The sequence below is a fragment of the Homo sapiens genome, chromosome 14, assembly GCF_000001405.40.
Source record: "Homo sapiens chromosome 14, GRCh38.p14 Primary Assembly".
NCBI lineage: Eukaryota > Metazoa > Chordata > Mammalia > Primates > Hominidae > Homo > Homo sapiens.
Window position 1 is genome coordinate 102,200,099 of NC_000014.9, and position 11,625 is coordinate 102,211,723.

General features: G+C 48.2%; 1 protein-coding gene and 1 long non-coding RNA gene across 70 annotated transcripts in view, besides 1 other annotated feature; one reads left to right on the forward strand and one right to left on the reverse strand.

Moving 5' to 3' along the window:
• The window catches only part of WDR20 (WD repeat domain 20), an 85,417-nt gene that overhangs the window by 60,676 nt on the left and 13,116 nt on the right, over nucleotides 1–11,625 (forward strand). For 33 of the 69 annotated variants that reach the window (NM_001353662.2, XM_024449743.2, XM_024449742.2 and 30 more), the window contains one exon: nucleotides 8,505–9,764. The exons of 11 other annotated variants lie outside the window; for them this stretch is intronic. In NM_001353662.2, coding sequence (NP_001340591.1) covers nucleotides 8,592–9,764 — 1,173 coding nt within the window. In that variant the 5' untranslated portion in view covers nucleotides 8,505–8,591. Of the gene's footprint in view, nucleotides 1–688; nucleotides 5,138–8,504; nucleotides 10,430–11,625 lie in introns of those variants that run through there. 25 more of the 69 variants (NM_001353669.2, NM_001353670.2, NM_001353668.2 and 22 more) reach the window with 4 other exon arrangements.
• Nucleotides 3,035–3,114: a silencer, noted in NCBI's record as "silent region_6111". NCBI's record gives its function as "represses an Ori minimal core promoter by ATAC-STARR-seq in GM12878 lymphoblastoid cells {active_cell/tissue: GM12878}" and the evidence as "EXISTENCE:reporter gene assay evidence [ECO:0000049][PMID:35858748]".
• On the reverse strand, nucleotides 3,780–8,508 carry LOC105370677 (uncharacterized). Its single transcript, XR_944228.2, has 2 exons — nucleotides 5,036–8,508; nucleotides 3,780–4,392 (listed from the first exon to the last, which is right to left on the reverse strand). It is a non-coding gene; the product is annotated as an uncharacterized LOC105370677 (long non-coding RNA).

Sequence of the window (11,625 nt, forward strand, 5' to 3'; positions counted from 1 at the left end):
TCCTCAGTCACACTGGAGGTCCTTGCTGGTGCATCTGTTCAAGACCCAAAGAAAGTCGAATGCCCAGTCCTTTCTAGCCCCTCTCAGGAAATCATCCCCAGCTCCCTGGAGTCTCTGCTTTCCCCAATCTTCCAGAGTAGATTTTGGGTTTCTGTTTGTAGCGTTCTGTACATATGATGCCCTTGAAAATGTCTAATGGGCCATTATTGAAAGTATCTTGGCGCACGGTTCATCTGACAAGCTCCCAGATCGTGGAGCGTGTCCTCATCATCAGAGCTGCCCACAGAGGAGAGTCACCCGGTCACATTCAGCTCACTGTGGTGAAGCACCCCACAGGGGCGAGGAGTTTACTTTTTAAATTTTTTTTTTTGTGTGTGTGTGTGTGTGTGTGTGTGTGTGTGTGTGTGTGTTTCACTCTGCCCTGTTCTGAAGTTTGCTTTTTATAACTAATGGTTATATATTTGGGGAGGAAGAGTTACAAAGGGACAGTTCCTATATGGTAATGAATGCAACCTTGTTGTCTGTGTAAAAATCCTGATTTTGGAGTATATTCACAGAATAGTAACTTTGAAGGATTTTCAAGTATGTGTTAATTGTTGGCTGAAATATAAAATGTTAAAGAACTTGGCATTTGGCTTCTTTCGTTACTGACACGATACCCTCTGCTGTTGCCCTTCTCCTCTCGCAGGCTGTGAGGCTGAGGCAGACACACTGGGTAGGTCCCACGTCTCCTTGTGGCATTTAGATCCAGTCTTACTGAAGGGCATGCTGAAGAGGAGATGGCCCTGACTCCTGGGGTATGGAGGGACACTGCTGCCAGCCCAGGCTGCGTGGCACATCCTGCCAGCTGCAGGTGCCTCCCAGGCATGGGGTAAAGCTTAGCAGTGTTCTGTCTATTCTGATACAAAGGAATGGTCTGCACATTTTGTTAGTTTTGTTTCTGTTGATTTTCTAATCGAAGGAAGGAAATGAGCCCGTAATGATCTACTCCTTAAAGCTTGAACACAGATAAAACGACATCCGATCCCATCTTAATGTGGCTTTGAAATACCCTTTCCTAATACTTCCTGAGCCCTCTTCAGATGCCTTTACATCATCAGAGCCTTTAGTTGCCATTTTTGCTTGTGGTTGCATTATGGCTTTTCAAGCAGCTGCTGTGGTTTTTGAATTGTTTCAGTATTTTTGTTATAAATTAATATCTGCATTTTGAAATGCAGATCCACTCACCCCCAAACTAATTTTTGATTTTTGCTTATCATATTGATAGTAATGAAAAAAAAGAAAAAGAAAATGAAGTGCCTTAGAAAGCGTCAGTGTGAATTGCTTTCACAAAATGACACTTTGATGTGGTTATAGACTTATTTTTATTCTTGTTTCATTTTAACTAGTGTATTTTGAAAATCTTGTCTGTTGATGGCATTTGGGATGGTAGTGTTTTCGCTGTTCGTGGGATTTTTCTTTGTATTCATATCTTAAGTGGCACGGTCTGTTTGGCCTGCAGAGCTGGAACTATGGGGAGGGCCGCGCTGAGCGTTGAGTGGAGACATGGAGCCTGCATCCCCACAGAGCACTGGCCCAGAGCAGGTGTCTTGACGTACATAGAAATGTGTCTGTATTTCGTTTTGCTTTTAAGGTTTATTTGCGTTTTGGGTTTTTTGTGTTTTTATGAACGTGTTTGTTAAGAATGGGCCTTGGAGCATTTTGGAGTTGGACACTGATGGAGAGCCCTGTGGCCAGGCCAGCTGCTCTGCCAGCACCTCTGTTACTTCCCCTGCCTTCCCTCCGCCTCCTCGCTGAGCACCTGCCCTGCCCATCTCTCAGTGTACCCCTGCCCTGGAGGGGCTGCGACTGGGACTGGGGCTCTCCTCCACTGCTTCCCACCAGAGCCTTCCTGCCTCTGCCTGTCTCTGTTCCCCAGCACCTCCCTTCTGGCCCAGGGAGCAGGTCTCTTCCCTGTCCCTCTCTCCTGGAGCTCACCTTCCTCCACCAGGCACCTGCCCTGCACCCTCCTCCCCTACGGTGTCCCTTTGCTCTCAGCACCTTCTCTGCCCCCACCCTGCTTCCCTGTGCTCTCTCCTAAGGACCACCCCCTCCCTGTGCACTCCATCCCTCTAGGGCTCAGCTTCCTCAAGTCTCAGAGGCCTGTCCTCTGAGGCTCTGGCCTCCTGTGGCAGCTCCTTCCTCTTCTGCCTGCTCTCCTCATGGCACTTCTGGGTTGTTTGCTTGGATATTCCTTCTGCTTTCCTTGTTTTTGTCCTGTGCCCTGTATGGAGGTTTTTTTTTTTTTTTTTTTTTTTTTGAGACGGAGTCTCGCTCTGTCGCCCAGGCTGGAGTGCAGTGGTGCGATCTCGGCTCACTGCAAACCTCTGCCTCCCGAGTTCACACCATTCTCCTGCCTCACCACCTGAGTAGCTGGGACTACAGGCACCCGCCACCATGCCCAGCTAATTTTTTTGTATTTTTAGTAGAGACAGGGTTTCACCATATTGGCCAGGATGGTCTCGATCTCCTGACCTCGTGATCCGCCCGCCTTGGCCTCCCAAAGTACTGGGATTACAGGTGTGAGCCACTGCGCCGGGCCTGTACGGAGGTTTTTTTCAGAGTTTCACACACTCTTCCTCCGCTGCACCTGCTTCCTTGGAGATATTTATTTATTTATTTCAGAGACAGGGTCTCACTGTGTCACCCAGGCTGGAGTACAGTGGTGTAATCATAACTCACTGCAGCCTTGACCTGGGCTCAAGTGATCCTCCTTGGAGATCTTAGGATGTTACTATTCGCAGCCAATTTCTGTGACATTCGTGGTTATATTTATTAGCTGCAGACCTTTCTAGCTGCATACTGGGCAAAACCCAGGGGTCTTTACACACCCCCGCTTTCCATCTTGCCCTCCACCCAGCCACATTCTGCCACGCTGCCCATGGTCAAGTTTAAGACCTATTTGTCCATGGCATGGACAGTTGTCATAGCCTCCTAACTGGTTCCTCATCACCCCCACCCCACCTTGCATTCTGCACCTACTGCTGGGGGATTTCATGTTATTCTGCCACTTCCCTTTCTAGAAACTGTCTGTGCCTCCACTGTCTGCAGCAGCATCCCCAGTAGAAATACAGTGCCAGCCACGTGTGCAAGTTTAAATTTTCTAATTACCACATTAAAATAGTAAAAACCAGGTGAAATTAATTTTAAGAAAATACTGTATTTTATATATATATCTCCAAAATATTATTTCAGCATATAACCAGTGTAAAAACTATAAATGAGATCATTGACATTTTTTTTCATACCACATTTTTAGAACCCTGTGTGTGTTTACACTGACAGCACATTCCACTTGAGACCAGTGCTGCGGGACTGGGGAGTGCAAGCGTCAGGGTCCCAGCCGAAGCCCTTTAGCTTGGGACTTCACAGCCACAGCCTGAGTCCCAGCTCACAACTCCAGACCAAATTCCCCTCCCAGCTCATGTGCTGCGATCAAGACAGATGCCACACATGGCCTGGATCCCCACCCCCCTGGCCTGCTGTGTTGGCTGGGCTTTTCCTTGGAGCATGGCCCCTGGTGCTTCTGCCACTCCTGCCTCCCTGCCCACCCCCGAAACCCCATCCCTCAGAGGGACCGGGTATTTTTCAACATCCTCATCCAGATCAAGGCCCCATTGACATTGGAGAGAATTCAAGCCCAACAGGGAATTCCATTACTTATCATTGAGCACTGACTAAGATTTTTTTTTTTAACTAGACTTTTTCTGAAACAAAAATATACCTTATAGTGCAGAAACTGGACTGCATAATTTTTATTCTTGTATTTATTTAATTAAATGTTCTAGGTATTTCTTTCTTAATTTGAAAGACAGGAGAAAAATGTGTTCTGTTCTCTTCCTCTTTTGTCAAACCCAATCCAAATAAGCCAGAGTCATGTAAGTTAAATGACTGTGCTTCCCACACTGGCCTGGGGTCTGAGACAGGCTGGTGCCCTGTTCCTTAGAACGCTTGGGAGTGGCCCTGCAGGCTGGTCGTCGGAGCCAGGTGATGTGTGTCTGTGGAACGGGAGACAGCATGCTCGCTTTGGGGTCTGATGGGCCCGTCTGTTCCCCTGGCACTGGTTCGGCTGTGTCTCTCCGCCTCGGAGTCCTTGAAGTTGTTCTCTGTGGGGGTACACTTCCCCAAACATCCTCTTAGCCTGATATTTGCTGTCTTTCTGTCCTTCTGTCTTGCTCAGCTGTCCAGCACCAGCAGAGGAAGAGGCCTTTCTTGGCCATCCTATTCAACATTGAAATCACTAGAGTCCCCTTCTCCCCAGCACGTTCTCTTCTCTCCCTGGTTTATTTTTCTCCACAGCACTTATCATCATCAGATCACATAAATTTCACTGTCTTCTCATCCCACTTGAACCTAAATTTCATGAGGGAAAGATGCCTGTTTTAATTTATATTGTATCAGTGCCTGGCATATGGTACGCACTCAATACTGGATGGATGGATGGGACTTCAGGCAAGTTTCTTGACCTCTCTAAGCTTCTTTTCTCACTGATAATATGGCGACAATCCCTGCCTTCCTGTAGGGAGACAGGCATGACTGCATTTTCCATTTTCCATGCGAGGCAATTTGGTAACATCTGTAAAAATCATAAATGTATATATCTTTTGGCTCAGTTACTCCACTGGGAGTTTATCCTGTAGGTACATTACTCACACATGTGAAAAGTGCGTGTGTGCAAGGGCATTCATTGCTACATAGATGTCCATCAGTGGGGCACTTCCACAATAAACCACAGTTTATCCAAACAGTTGAATACTCTGCAGCTTTAGAAAAGAATGAGGATGCTGTCTTTGTGCCCATACAGACTGATGTACAAATACACTTGGAGGCTGGGCATGGTGGCTCACGCCTTTAATCCCAGCACTTCGAGAGGCCAAGGCAGGAGGATTGCTTTGCTCCTGAAGCCAGGAGTTTGAGACCAGCCTGGACAACATAGCGACACCCTGTATTTACAAAAAATATAAATTTTTAATCAGCTGGGTGTGGCGACACTCACCTGAAGCACCAGCTATACTCAGGAGGCTGAGGTGGGAGGATTGCTTCGGCCTGGGAGGTCAAGGCTGCAGTGAGCCGTGATTGCACCACTGCACTCCAACCTGAGTGATGGAGCGAGACCCTGTCTCAAAAAAAAAAAAAAGATATGGAATGAGAAAGCAGAGGTGAGACAGTGCATAGTATGCTCCCTTTGGTATGAAAAAGAAGAGTGGATAAATGCGTATTCATATTTGCCTTGTACATGCACAAAGACACTCTGGAGAGAGAAATGAGAAACTAGTACAGTGACTCAGGACAGAGGATCCGGAATGGAGTAGAAGAATGTAAGGCTTTCTACTGTATACTTTTATGTGAATTAATAATGTATTACCCATTCACACAAAAAGCGTATCTTGAAAGGTAATTTTGAGGCTTAGAGAGCATGGGTGTAAGCCTCTACCAGTGGCCAGCACCCACAGTAGACACTCTGATTGGAAGTGAGGGCCAGCACGCTGCTGTTGCTGCCCACAGACACTGCTGCCTGCCTGCCACTCACCCTGATATTGCTGAGACACAGGGCGCCCCCAGAGAAGCACGTGTTTTCCCTGCTGTCAAGCACATGATTGACAGAGAAAAACAATGGGTAAGGCAAGTGAGAAACCCTTACCACAATACAGGTGGATCCAAGGTCGGTTTTTTTTTTTTTTGGTCTGCGGTTGCTTAAACTGGTGTGCTCAGTCCACCATTGCCAGTGTGTCACAGTAACATTTAATTAGGCCCCCACAGGGGGATTGAAGTAGATTGGCACAGGATGTTATCTGTAAGTTACATCCATGTGTCTACTTAGGGTCGTCTCAGTGCACTGTTTTTTTTTGTTGTTGTTTCTTTTGAGATGGAGTCTGACTTTGTCGCCCAGGCTGGAATGCAATGACGTGATCTTGGCTCACTGCACACAGCCACCGCCTCCTGGGTTCAAGTGATTCTCCTGCCTCAGCCTCCAGAGCAGCTGGGATTACAGGTTCGCACTACCATGCCCAGCTAATTTTTGTATTTTTAGTAGAGACAGGGTTTCACCATGTTGGCCAGGCTGGTCTCGAACTCCTGACCTAAAGTGATCCACCCTCCTCGGCCTCCCAAAGTGCTGGGATTACAGGCGTGAGCCGCCGCGCCTGGCCACAGTGCAGCTTCTTAATACGGGAGTGAAGGTTTTTAATGTGTTTTGTCATTGCAGTAACATTTATTTTTAATGGTGCTATAAATGCTGTTCATACCTCACTATTGCAAAGCAATACTGTTTTTACTTGATCATACTAGTTTTTGAGTTCTCATGCAGTTTTTTGTTGTGTTTTTTAAGGCCCAAAATAAAATTTACTCCTAACCGTGCTGCTAGAAGTTTTTATGTCCTGAAATTTCTCCACACATGGTAAATAGAGTAACAATGAAGTGATCCTAGAAAAACTGGGATTTGATTTGGTTCTGGTGAAATGTAAGGTGCAGGAATTGGGAGCCACTGTACCAAAATCAGGACAGCAGTCTGGCTTCCCAGGCCTGAGTTAGCTGGTGTAGGCCTGCCTGACAAGGCCAGTGATGGAGCGAGCTGCAGACACCCTTAGGCCCTGGGCGATCAGGTACAGTTGTGTTTGTGGGATCAAGAGTGCTGGGGTAGTCTGGGCCCAGTGGGCACAGCAAGGTCTGGCAGAGCTGTGATGGGGGAGTGGAGGCCTCTTAATCCACCGTTCACCATCCCATCATCCTTGCACCTCCCTCCACCATCAAAAAAAAGCCCTGCTCTGGCCATGTAAATTATCTCTGTAACCCCTTGCTGAGAAAATTGCACGAAGGTCTAATGGAAATCCTGCCAGAGCAGCGCTGGGTTTTAGGTTGTTGGCATTAGTGCAGGTCAGGTGCTGTTTATAGGTAGGTCACCAGGCAGGAGGATAAAGAGGAGGTGGGGGATGAAAATACTGGCTGTGTCCCCAAGGCTGGCTTGCCACGTGCCTATTAATTTAAGAGGACCAGCCATGCCGTTTTACGGCAGTAAGCAGTGACACCTGCTGCTGAGTAACTGCCCAATGCATGGTCCCCAGCCCTGGGCCCGCATGCTGTGTGGCGTTCAGGCCTCCGTTCTTCCTGCCTGGGGTCCTTTGTTAGCAGCCTACTTTCTAGGGTCTAATGTTCATGCAGTGAGCTTGCATGGCTCATTAATTTCTTTCCCAGCCGTTCTTTTAAAAATCAAGTCGTCTTATTTCTGTAATTCTCTGTAAAGATGTAGCACACATGGCGGGCACATGGCCTCAAAGCCACCCTGGCAGAAGTCGGCATGTTTCTTGGCAGATTCTGCCCCTGTGTGCCCAGTACCCCTCTGAGACTTGAGTCAGGGACTCCCCACCTGTTAGGTGAAGCGGTGGTGTTCAACTTACCTGGGGCTGCTGGGCTCCTAAAGGGACACTGTTACTGGGGCGATGGTGCAGTGGAGAGCACTTGGCAGTAGGAGCTTCTAGGTAGAACTTGGGAGTCTTGGGACTTCTGGATGTGTTCTGGTGATGCGATTTTGCGCTCAGACGGTCCAGAAAGGGACCGCCCCTGTGGAAGGTGTTGCGCTGGCATCCCCATCACAGGATTGATTGGCAAGCAGGGAAAGAGACTTGTGCCTTTGGTGGGGCAGGTATTTTTGCCCTTCGTTATTTGGGTTTTAAAGGCAAGACTACTGACATACGCCTGTTAAAGAAACATCTCGGTCAGGGGTCCAAAGTTAGCATATGGAGCAGAGTGATGGTAATGAGACACACACTCCCGAATGAATCGTCAGTGTATCTCTCTCAACACCAGCAGAGAGGGTTTCGAGGAGATGCTTATGGAGATGCACGTGGGGCGGTGCATGGGAGTGAGGCGGCCTCAGTGGGCCCAGGCTCTGTTTTGGAGTTGTGTGTGCTGCCAGCCATGGACTGTGGATTTCACTCCCCACCTTCGAGCCGCCAGAGCAGAGGGGCAGATGGAACCAGCCCATTACCTACAGTGACAGTAAAGGCAGAGGAACCCGTGAGGGTGAGGCAGAGCCCTCCTGGCTGTGAGGACTCACAGGCTTCACCTGCAGGTCCTCGTAGAGGGGATACCACATGCAGATGCAGTGACCCCCAGATTCAGATGCACCTACTGTCAAGGAAGAAAGATCCCAGCAGGGCTGTTCCCTCCGCAGTGAACCCTGTGCCTGGCATCGTGTCTGGCACTTAGTGGCCCCTCTGCAAATATCTGTTGGCTGCCTGACTCCCTCCGTGAAAGCCAGCAGCCTAACACCGATTTTAGAAAGTAATTCTAAATTACCCCAAAAGGGCCAAAACGCTCCTTGCTGGCTTGGCTGACTGCAGGATAAAATGTGGAGGGCCTGGATAGACTTGCCCCTTCCCATCGAGAAGCACACAAGTTTTCTTGCTGGAAAAGTAGACCTTTGAGACTTCTCCGTTGTGCTAACTTGTTCTCCTTTGTCTTCACAGAGACTAATAGACAAGTCACGAGTTACCTGTGTCAAATGGGTTCCCGGTTCGGAAAGCCTTTTCCTAGTAGCCCACTCGAGTGGGAACATGTACTTATATAATGTGGAGCACACTTGTGGCACCACAGCCCCCCACTACCAGCTTCTGAAGCAGGGAGAGAGCTTTGCCGTGCACACTTGCAAGAGCAAATCCACGAGGAACCCTCTCCTTAAGTGGACGGTGGGCGAGGGGGCCCTCAACGAGTTTGCTTTCTCCCCAGATGGCAAGTTCTTAGCGTGCGTGAGCCAGGACGGGTTTCTGCGGGTGTTCAACTTTGACTCAGTGGAGCTGCACGGTACGATGAAAAGCTACTTTGGGGGCTTGCTGTGTGTGTGCTGGAGCCCGGATGGCAAGTACATCGTGACAGGTGGGGAGGACGACTTGGTGACAGTCTGGTCCTTTGTAGACTGCCGAGTAATAGCCAGAGGCCACGGGCACAAGTCCTGGGTCAGTGTTGTAGCGTTTGACCCTTATACCACTAGTGTAGAAGAAGGTGACCCTATGGAGTTTAGTGGCAGCGATGAGGACTTCCAAGACCTTCTTCATTTTGGCAGAGATCGAGCAAATAGTACACAGTCCAGGCTCTCCAAACGGAACTCTACAGACAGCCGCCCCGTAAGTGTCACGTATCGGTTTGGTTCCGTGGGCCAGGACACACAGCTCTGTTTATGGGACCTTACAGAAGATATCCTTTTCCCTCACCAACCCCTCTCAAGAGCAAGGACACACACAAATGTCATGAATGCCACGAGTCCTCCTGCTGGAAGCAATGGGAACAGTGTTACAACACCCGGGAACTCTGTGCCGCCTCCTCTGCCACGGTCCAACAGCCTTCCACATTCAGCAGTCTCAAATGCTGGCAGCAAAAGCAGTGTCATGGACGGGGCCATTGCTTCTGGGGTCAGCAAATTTGCAACACTTTCACTACATGACCGGAAGGAGAGGCACCACGAGAAAGATCACAAGCGAAATCATAGCATGGGACACATTTCTAGCAAGAGCAGTGACAAACTGAATCTAGTTACCAAAACCAAAACGGACCCTGCTAAAACTCTGGGAACGCCCCTGTGTCCTCGAATGGAAGATGTTCCCTTGTTAGAGCCGCTGATATGTAAAAAGATAGCACATGAGAGACTGACTGTACTAATATTTCTTGAAGACTGTATAGTCACTGCTTGTCAGGAGGGATTTATTTGCACATGGGGAAGGCCTGGTAAAGTGGTAAGTTTTAATCCTTAATGCTGCACCAGATCTAGAACTTGAATAGGTAGTGACTTTTTTCTTTTTCGTGGGAGGGGTGGGGTGTACAATGAATGTGAATGACACTTCTTATTCTTAATGTAAATCTCAATGCATCAGAGCCATAATTTTGGATACTGCATGCCATGTAATTCTGAATCATTTGATAATTTACCTTAGAGCATTTAAAAAAATATAATCAAACTAATTGCCAGCCAAGTCAGTCATCCTCCTGGGAGTATATAGAGTCCCAAGGTTAGCGCTCCTGTATTAGACTATTTCAATTTTAGGAAAATCATGACCATGTGGGGAAACAATGACTTTAAAATGCTGAAATTAAAATTTATGCTTTAACTGGAATATTTTTTGCTTAACTACTCAATTAGAATATTGTACACCTGATCAATGTGTGTTCAGCACAGATGGCCATGAATTGTCATTTATAGTCCAATTTTTTATCTTAATCATAAAATGTTTAGGAATCTATGAAATTTAACTTTAGGAACAAAACGTTTAGCAGGGTTGATTGATATTATTTTTACATTGTTCTGGCAATCCACAGAAAGAGAAGAGCCTTAATTTTTAAAACCCATTTTAGTCATTTTATGACAATTAAAGTTGTTTAATAAACATCTTTTTTCAAAGAAGCAGTTTGTAGCACTTTGATTGAGGTTCTGTGTACTAAGATACCCGTACCTCACTCAGAGCCTGACAGTTCGTGGGAACTGCGGGCCGAGGACGCCAACAGCATTGCAGAAGTGCCTCTTGCCACATAAGCGAAGACCTTTTCTTCAGATGCACTTTGCTTGTGTGTTTTCCCAACAAGGGAAAAGGAGTTTTTTGGTTTTTTGCCGGGGGCGGGGAGGTGCGGTGGGGGAGGGGGATTGGGTCAGAAAGGCACGTGACTCCTCCGCGCTTTGTTTCGTAAAGCCTGAGACTCCCCGAGTCTTCCGACTTCTCCCTGACATGGCCCTCGTTTGGGCTTCGTCCCCCGCAGAGGAAGCGGAAGTGCAGGTTTCCCCTCTCCTTGTTCTTGGATGGCAGCTGTGGTTCCGGGATTACTCTTGGGATGCTGACGCTGGCCATGTGCGTAGGCTTCGTCCTCAGTGGCTCCCACCCTAGCGCCTCAGCCCAGGACCTGGTGGCCTGTGGCTTCCTCGGCAGTGGGAGGCTCTGCTGCTCCCCCGGAGACCGCAGTCTTTCACCCTCACTCTCTACTGCTGCACCAGGAGCTGCTTTTCAAATTCTGGTTTTCCCAGTGGGTGAGATGGCCCCTTGAACTATGTATTCCATGTCAAGATGGTGGTTATCTTACTTGTTAACTCATTTTGGGCATTTAGGTTGTACACCTTTGTAATTAAATATAGAGACAACGATCACTTAGACCAGTTTGCGTAGTGAATATGATTCAGCAAAGTGAAGACCTGGTGGCTTTTCTTTCTCTGCAGTGTAAAGACCCTGGTAGCTGAAGCAGCAGCTCCCTGTGCTCTTAACGCAGCCCTCCCAGGAAAGCCGGGCCAGGTTCCCAGGCCTGCTTCCCATCTGCAAACATGTCACGGTGGCGCCATCCACCCTGTGCCCATCGTGGGCCTTAACGCAGTGGTTTCTGTTGAGTGTGATGGCATGGCCGCGTGCTGCCACCTGGGAACCACAGCAGCCTTCAGGTGCATCTCTCCTGGCTGTGCCTTTCACATCCCTGAGCACTGCTCCTAGGAGTATTCGTGTCCTCTCTACCTGTGGAATACGGGCCTTTGTTCCTAAAGGTGAACTGATCTAAGGTAGCCATGACAGCCATCCTTGTGGACAGTTTCCGCTTTGGAGGCCAAATTGGGTCATGTGGAGA